This window comes from Homo sapiens, chromosome 8 (genome assembly GCF_000001405.40).
Source record: "Homo sapiens chromosome 8, GRCh38.p14 Primary Assembly".
NCBI lineage: Eukaryota > Metazoa > Chordata > Mammalia > Primates > Hominidae > Homo > Homo sapiens.
This window is the reverse complement of record NC_000008.11, coordinates 103,383,027-103,392,390: the sequence shown is the minus strand read 5'-3', so window position 1 is coordinate 103,392,390 and position 9,364 is coordinate 103,383,027. Positions and strand designations below refer to the sequence as shown.

General features: G+C 37.6%; 1 pseudogene; it reads right to left on the bottom strand.

Annotated features, from left to right (window-relative positions):
* On the bottom strand, window positions 7,324–7,430 carry RNU6-1011P (RNA, U6 small nuclear 1011, pseudogene; annotated as a pseudogene).

Here is a 9,364-nt window from a genome sequence, read left to right as displayed (position 1 = left end):
CCTTGGAAATTCAGATCAATCACTACAGCCAATAAATTAACCCCCTGTTTTTCATCCGTTGGTTAAGTGTTACAAGAAGTGCAAAATGACCAGGTGGCAGTCTGATAAGCAGAATTCTGAGATGAATGTCGTGACTTTCCCTCTCTTGTACACACCCTGTGTAATCTCCCCTTGAGCATGGTTGAAACCTGTAAATATAATTGGATAGCACCTCCACGATTATGCTATATGGCAAAGGGTTCCTAATCAGTTGACTATAATCCAAAGGGAGATTATCCTGCGTAGATATGATCTAATTAGGCAAGTTATTTAAAAGCAGAAGAGTTATCCTGCTGGTCTAGAAGAAAAACAGCCTGTTGTGAAAGTAGGGACCACAGGGACCTGAGGGTGACCTCCAGGAGCTGAGAGCAGTCCTCAGCTAACAGTAAAAAAAAAAAACAAGAACTTTAATCACAACTGCAAGGAACTGAATTGTGCTAACAACCACATGAGCTAGAAATAGGATTCTAAGTCTCAGAAGAGATCACAGCCCCAGCCAATGCTTTAATTTCAGCCTGGTAACACTGAGCAGAGGATTCAGCTAACCTGTATCCAGACCCTTGACCCACAGAAACCATGAGATAAATAAATTTGTGTTGTTTTAAGTTACTAAATTTGTAGTAATTTGTTATGCAACAAATAGGAAACTGATAACCTGTCTCATCCTACAATTCAATGGAACCACTATTTTGTTCCCCTGGTGGTTACTAACACTTCCAAACCAGCAGACTCACAGTTGCCAGGACAGGAAGCAAAAAGTCTGTAAGCCGGTTATTAGGTGTAATAGTGAGATAAGTCCGTGATGGTTAATTTTAGATGTCAACATGACTAGGCTAGGGGTTACTCAGCTAGCTGTTAAGGCATTATTTCTAGGTATATCTGTGAGTGTGTTTCCAGAAGAGATCGGCATTTAAATTAGTGGACTGAGTAAGGAAGATCTGCCCTCAGTGTGGGTGGACGCAGTCCAATCAGCTGAGGGCTGCATTCAACAAAAAGGCAGGGAGGAAAGGTGAATGTGATCTTTATTCTAGAGCAGGGACACCTTTCTTTGACTGCCCTTGGACATCAGAACTCCGGGTTCTCCAGCTTTCGGACTTGGACTTAACACCAGCACACCCCCCGCCCCAGGTTCCCAGGCCTTCGGCCTCAAACTGAAAATTACACCATGGGCCTCCCTGGTTCTCCAGTTTGCAAATGGCCTATTGTGAGACTTCTCAGCCTCCGTAATTGGGTGAGCCAATTCCCCTAATAAATTTCCTCTCATTTATTAAGAGATTTATAGGTATATAGGCATACCTTTGAGATCTCTGAGATATTTTTATAGTTCAGTTCCAGACCACTGCAACCAAATGAATATCACAATAAAATGAGTCGTGAAGTTTTTGATTTCCCAGTGTATATAAAAATTATGTTGACATTATACTGTAGCCTATCAAGTGTACAATAGCATTATGTCTAGAAATACCTTGTACATAGCTTAATTTAAAAATACTTTATTGCTAAAAAATTCTGACAATCATCTCAGCCTTCAGTGAGTTGCAATCTTTTTGCTGGTGGAGGATCTTGCCTCATGATGGCTGCTGACTGATCAGGTTGGTGGTTGCTGAAGGTTGGGGTGGCTGTGGCAATTTTTTAAAATAAGATAACAATGGAGTTTACCACATCGATTGACTCTTGCTTTGAGGGAAGATTTCTCTGTAGCTTGTGGTGGTGTTTGATAGCATTTTACTCACGGTAGAACTTTGTTTGAAACTGGAGTCGATCCTTTCCATCCCTGCTGCTGCTTTATCAACTAAGTTTATGTAATATACCAAATCCTTTGTTGTCATTTCACAATATTGACAGCATCTTCACCAGGAGTAGATTCCATCTCAAGGAACCACTTTTTTAAAATTTTTAATTTTTAGTGGTACCTAGTAGATATATATTTATGGGGTACATGAGACATTTTGATACAGGCATACCACATGTAATAATCACATTAGGGTAAATGGGGCATCCGTCACCTCAAGCATGTATTTCTTTGTGTCACGAACATTCCAATTATACTCTTTTAGTTATTTTTAAAAGTACTATAAATTATTGTTAATTGTAGTAACTCTGTTGTGCTATCGAATACTAGATTTTATTCATTCCTTCTATGTTTTGTGCCCATTAACCATCCCCACTCTCCCCCCACTCCCCACTACTGATTCCAGCCTCTGGTAGCCAACATTCTACTGCCTATCTCCATGAGTTCAGTTGTTTAATTTTCAGCTGCTACAAATGAGTGAGAACATGCGAAGTTTGTCTCTCTGTGCTTGGCTTATTTCACTTAACGTAATGTACTCCAGTTCTATCCATGTGTTGCACATGACAGGATCCTTTGTGTGTAAGTACCACATTTTCTTTATCCATTTGTCTGTTGTTGGACAGGTAGGTTGATTCCAAATCTTTGCTGTTATGAATAGTGCTGCAATAAACATGGGAGTGCAGATATCTCTTCAGTATACTGATTTCCTTTCTTTTGGTTATGTATCTGGCACTGGGATTGCTGGATCATATGATAGTTCTATTTTTAGTTTTTTTGAGAAACCACCAAACCATTCTCCTTAGTGACTCTAATAATTTATATTTCCACCAACAGTGTATGAGGGTTCCCTTTTCTCTATATCCTCACCAGCATTCATTAATTGCCTGTCTTTTGGGTAAAAGCCATTTTAACTGGGGTGAGGTGATATCACATTGTAGTTTTGATTTGCATTTCTCTGATGATCAGTGATATTGAGCACATTTTCATATGCCTGTTAACCATTTGTATGTCTTCTTTCAAGAAATGTCTATTCAATTATTTTGCCCATTTTTAAATTGGATTATTAGTTTTTCTATATAAAGTTGTTTGAGCTTCTTATGTGTTCTGGTTGTTAATCCTTTGTCAGATGGATAATTTGCAAATATTTTCTCCCATTCTGCGGGTTGTCTCTTCACTTTGTTGATTGTATCCTTTGCTGTGCAGAAGCTTTTTAACTTGATGTGATACCATTTGTCCATTTTTGCTGTGGTTGCCTGTGCTTTTAGGGTATTACACAAGAACTAACTTTGGAAGGCTGAGGCAGATGGATCACCTGAGGTCAGGAGTTTGAGACCAGCCTGGCCAACATGGTGAAACCAGCTCTCTACTAAAAACACAAAAATTAGCCAGGTGTGGTGGTTCACACTGGTAATCCTAGCTACTGGGAAGGCTGGGGTAGGAAAATCATTTGAACCCAGGAGGCAGAGGTGTATTCTTCAGAGTGGCACTTTTGACATTTCTCTAATCTATTCTCTCTTTTATTCCTTTGGTCATCACCAAAGCCCATAATCTTTTTTTCCAGTAACCTTTTTTTTTTATTGTGGATAATGTATCTAACATAAATTGCCATTTTAGCCACTTTAAAGTGCACAATTCATTGGCATTTAGTATATTCACAGTGTTGTACAACCATCATCACTCTGTAGTTCCAGGATATTTATATTATTCCAAAAGGAAATCTCATACCTAATAAGCAATCATTCTCCATTCTTCCCTCCCCTAACTCCTAGCAATCACTAATCTGCTTTCTGTCTCTGTGGATTTGCCTTTTCTGGGCATTTCATATAAATAGAATCATACCACCTGTTGCCTTCTGTGTCTCTCTGTAATATTTTTGAGGTTCATCCATGCTATAAGAATGTATTGACACTTAATTCCTTTTTTATGGCCGAATAATATTCCATTGTATTCATACACCACATTTTGATTATCAGTTGTTTTCAGTTGATGGACATTTGGATTGTGTTGACATTTTGGCTATCGTGAAGAGCGCTGCTATGACCATTCATGTTCAAGATTATGTTTGTACCACTGTTTTCAGTTCTTCTGGGTACAATGGCTGTACCATTTTGTATTCCCACTAGCAATGTATCAGAACTTCATTTTCTCCATATCGTTGCTAGCACTTATTTTCCATTTTTTGTTTATAACTATCTTGGTCGATGTAAAGTGGTATCTCAATATAGTTTTAACTTGCACTATCCTAATAACTAATGATGTTAAGCATCTTTTCATGTGTCTGTGGGCTCTTCATATATCTTCTTTGGGGAAATGCCTGTTCATTTCTTTTGCACATTTTTTGACTAACTAGTTTGTCTTTTTGTTGTCTTAACAGCCTCGTAAGCTGGCCTTCCTCTACTCTTTATACCTCTAACTTTTGTTTTTTAACTCAGCTGTTAGAATGAGTTTTTGTTATATAATGTTATTCTACACCAAACTGTCAATAGCTCTCCATGGCTCTACAAATAACTCAGGCATTCATGGCCTCCACAGTATCTTCTCAACCTCCTTTACCAGATTTGACTTTTTTTTTTTTTTGCACTGATGTACATTTATTTTTCATATATATATATATAATTACACTTTAAGTTCTGGGGTACGTGTGCAGAACATGCAGATTTGTTACATAGGTGTACACATGCCATGGTGGTTTGCTGCACCCATCAACCCATCACCTACATTAGGTATTTCTCCTAATGTTATTATTCCTACCCTAGCCCCCCACCCCCTGACAGGCCCTGGTGTGTGATGTTTCCTTCCCTATGTTCGTGTGTTTTCATTGTTCAACTCCCACTTATGAATGAGAAGATGCAGTATTTGGTTTTCTGTTTTTGTGATAGTTTGCTGAGAATGATGATTTCCAGCTTCATCCATCTCCCTGCAAAGGACATGAACTCATCCTTTTTCATGGCTGCATAGTATTCCATGGTGTATATGTGCCACATTTTCTTTATCTAGTCTATCATTAATGGACATTTGGGTTGGTTCCAAGTATTTGCTATTGTGAAAAGTGCTGCAATAAACATACGTGTGCATGAGTCTTTATAGTAGAATGATTTATAATCCTTTGGGTATATGCCCAGTAATGGGATTGCTGGGTGAAATGGTATTTCTAGTTCTAGATCCTTGAGGAATTGCCACACTGTCTTCCACAATGGTTGAAGTAGTTTACACTCCCACTAACAGCGTAAAAGTGTTCCTATTTCTCCACATCCTCTCCAACATCTGTTGTTTCCTTTTTTTTTTTTTTTTTTTTTTTTTTTTGAGAAGAGGCTCCCTCTGCCACCAGGCTGGAGTGCAGTGGCGCGATCTCGGCTCACTGCAACCTCCTTCTCCCAGGTTCAAGCAATTCCCCTGCCTCAGCCTCCCAAGTAGCTGGGACCACAGGCACGTGCCAACACACCCGGCTAATTTTTTGTATTTTAGTAGAGATGGGGTTTCACCATGTTGGCCAGGATGGTCTCGATCTCCTGACCTCATGATCCCCTGCCTAGACCTCCCGAAGTGCTGGGATTACAGGCATGAGCCACCGCGCCCACCCTGTTTCCTGACTTTTTAATGATCGCCATTCTAAATGGCATGAGATGATATCTCATTGTGGTTTTGATTTGCATTTCTCTAATGACCAGTGATGATGAGCATTTTTTCGTTTGTCTGTTGGCTGCATAAATGTCTTCTTTTGAGAAGCGCCTGTTCATATCCTTTGCCCACTTTTTGATGGGGTTGTTGTTTTCTTGTAAATTTGTTTAAGTTCTTTGTAGATTCTGGATATTAGCCCTTTGTCAGATGGATAGATTGCAAAAATTTTCTCCCATTCTGTAGGTTGCCTGTTCACTCTGATGATAGTTTCCTTTGCTGTGCAGAAGCTGTTTAGTTTAATTAGATCCCATTTGCCAATTTTGGTTTTTGTTGCCATTGCTTTTGGTGTTTTAGACATGAAGTCTTTGCCCATGCCTACGTCCTGAATGGTATTTCCCAGGTTTTCTTCTAGGATTTTTATGGTCCTAAGTCTTACGTTTAAGTCTTTGATCCATCTTGAGTTGAGTTTTGTATAAGGTGTAAGGAAGGGGTCCAGTTTCAGTTTTCTGCATATGGCTAGCCAGTTTTCCCAACACCATTTATTAAATAGGTAATCCTTTTCCCATTGCTTGTTAGTGTCAGGTTTGTCAAAGATGAGATGGTTATAGATGTGTGGTGTTATTTCTGAGGCCTCTGTTCTGTTCCATTGGTCTGTATATCTGTTTTGGTACCAGTACCATGCTGTTTTGGTTACTGTAGCCTTGTAGTATAGTTTGAAGTCAGGTAGCGTGATGCCTCCAGCTTTGTTCTTCTTGCCCAGGATTGTCTTGGCTATGTGGGTTCTTTTTTGGTTCCATATGAAGTTTAAAGTAGTTTTTTCCAATTCTGTGAAGAAAGTCAGTGGTAACTTGATGGGGATATCATTGAATCTATAAATTACTTTGGGCAATATGGCCATTTTCATGATGTTGATTCTTCCTATCCATGAGCATGGAATGTTTTTCCATTTGTTTGTGTCCTCTCTTATTTCCTTGAGCAGTGATTTATAGTTCTCCTTGAAGAGGTCCTTCACGTCCCTTCTAAGTTGGATTCCTAGGTATTTTATTCTCTTAGTAGCAGTTGTGAATGGGAGTTCACTCATGACTTGGCTCTCTGTTTGTCTGTTACTGGTGTATAGAAATGCTTGTGAGTTTGGCACATTGATTTTGTATCCTGAGACTTTGTTGAAGTTGCTTATTAGCTTAAGGAAATTTTTGGCTGAGACGATGGGGTTTTCTAAATATACAATCATGTCATCTGCAAATAGAGACAATTTGTTGACTTCCTCTCTTCCTATTTGAATACCCTTTATTTCCTTCTCTTGCCTGATTGCCCTGGCCAGAACTTCCAATACTATGTTGAATAGGAGTGGTGAGAGAGGGCATCCTTGTCTTGTGCCGGTTGTCAAAGGGAATGCTTCCAGGTTTTGCCCATTCAGTATGATATTGGCTGTGGATTTGTCATAAATAGATCTTATTATTTTGAGATATGTTCCATCAATACCCAATTTATTGAGAGTTTCTAGCATGAAGTGGTGTTGAATTTTGTCAAAGGCCTTTTCTGCATCTATTGATGTGGTTTTTATCATTGGTTTAGTTTACATGATGGATTACGTTGATTGATTTGCGTATGTTGAACCAGCCTTGCATCCCAGGGATGAAGCCAACTTGATCATGGTGGATAAGCTTTTTAATTGCTGCTGGATTCAGTTTGCCAATATTTTATTGAGGATTTTTGCATTGATGTTCATCAGAGATATTGGCCTGAAATTTTCCTTTTTTGTTATGTCTCTGCTAGGTTTTGATATCAGGATGATGCTGGCCTCATAAAATGAGTTAGGGAGGATTCTCTCTGTTTCTATTGATTGGAATAGTTTCAGAAGGAATGGTACCAGTAAAAATATGGAACGCTTCATGAATTTGCGTGTCATCCTTGCACAGGGGCCATGCTAATCTTCTCTGTATTGTTCCAATTTTAGTATATGTGCTGCTGAAATAAGCACACCACATTTGTCTCTTATTGTTTCTACACACATTACTTAAGCTCAACCCACCTAAAAACATTATTTCTATTTTATTAATACCCCAGTGTTTTTACTAATGTTGTTGCCTCTACCAAAACTATTCTTAACAACTATCCCCATTTGTCAAAATTTTTACCCATCTTGGTTAACATCTACCTATCTGCAATATTATTTCATCTAGACTCCCCTTCTACTTCCCATTTCTAGATTATTCTGAAGCAAACTCAAGATGTCACATCACTTTATCTTAAATATTTCAGTATCTCTAAAAGATACTGAAAAGATAAAAGTACTATTTAAAAAGAGCAATACCATTACCAGACATAAATAATTATTTAATATCATCAACTATCCAGCCAATGTTCACGTCCTCAACTGTCTCAAGGAAGTTTTGTTTTTGTGTTTATAGTTTTCTTGAATCAGTATCCAAATAAAGTCCAAACATTGCAATTGGTTGATATGATCTTTTCTTTTAATCTATAAGTTTTTTTCCTGCCTCACTTTTCTTACAATTATTTATTAAAGAAACCAAATTGTCTTTCAAGTTTCCCACCGTCTGGATTTTGCTGATTATATCCCTGTGGTGTCAATGAACATGCTCTTTTATCCTGTGTATTTCCCACAAATTAATGGTTGGAACTAGAGGCTAAATCAGATCCTGAATTGATTGTTTCTTGGAAAACTACTTCCTGAGTGCTGTTATATACTTTCATTAGAGGCACATTGCTGGTCTATCTCTTTTGGGAATATTATCAGTCATTGATGTTCATTACTAGATCCCTTCATGAGGGGTCGAAAAAAGGTAATATTGGAATTTTATCATTCTTTCTTCATTTACAAGCTATACCACCAACATGTGATGTTACTATAAGACATATATAGTGTGTGTGTGTGTGTGTGTATATATATACACACACACACACACACACACACACACACTTTTAGAAAGAGAAATTTCCCTTCATCAACAATTTGGTTACTCAGAGATACAGTACATATAGAGAAAGCAGAAGAAATGTTTGGTTCTATTTACCAATTTTCAAAGTAACAAGTTGGTTTGCTGGCATACTGTAAGTTGACCAATTATTTTAATATATTATGAACTCATGTATTTAAACATATTTGATGTTTTAAACCATTGCAGTTCTCTTTATTGATGCTTAAATTGTGTCATCTTTAACAGTGAGAACCAATTCAAATGTTGGCTCTTGGATCCTTTTGAGTTGTTTTTCATAGCTGCCTTGTTTTCCAGTATGACAAAATGTTCCATGCTCATATTGTACATTTCCTGCCCCATAGGTGAAATCTCCCATTTCTTCAAGGATTTTTAGTTCCTTTTAGTAGGAAATGGGAGTGTAGAGATCACATTCTGGGCATTACTGGATTGGTCATTGTTTCTGGGCCTTTTCGGTAAACAAAGCTAGATTTTGTTGCTGTTTTGTAGCTTTATTTAAGATAAAGTACTTTAGGAGTTCATACTGATACTTCCAATTCAAGCCCAGAATTTACTTAACTTCACTAATCTTACATGTATACTGCCTTCTTGGATTTTTTTCTGATCACCTCAGCCAGAAGTGATCACTCTTCCTTTGAACCACATCACCCACTTCAACACTTTTATAGTAATCAACACATTAACTTTTGATTTATTGTTATTTCTATATATGTCTGATATTCTCTACCAAATGGTAAGGAATTTGAGGATAGAATCCATCCTTTGTTACCCTTTGTTAAATAAAGATAAAATTCCTAAAGTGCTGATATATTTCCTGACATATAAATACCACTTTCTCTTTGTATTCCTTTAAAAATGGAACCATATTATACATGTACTAAAAATTAATAAATGAGTGTTAAATGAATAAACACAAATAGGATTTATGTTAAATTTTTCAGATATAAAGACTAGAAAC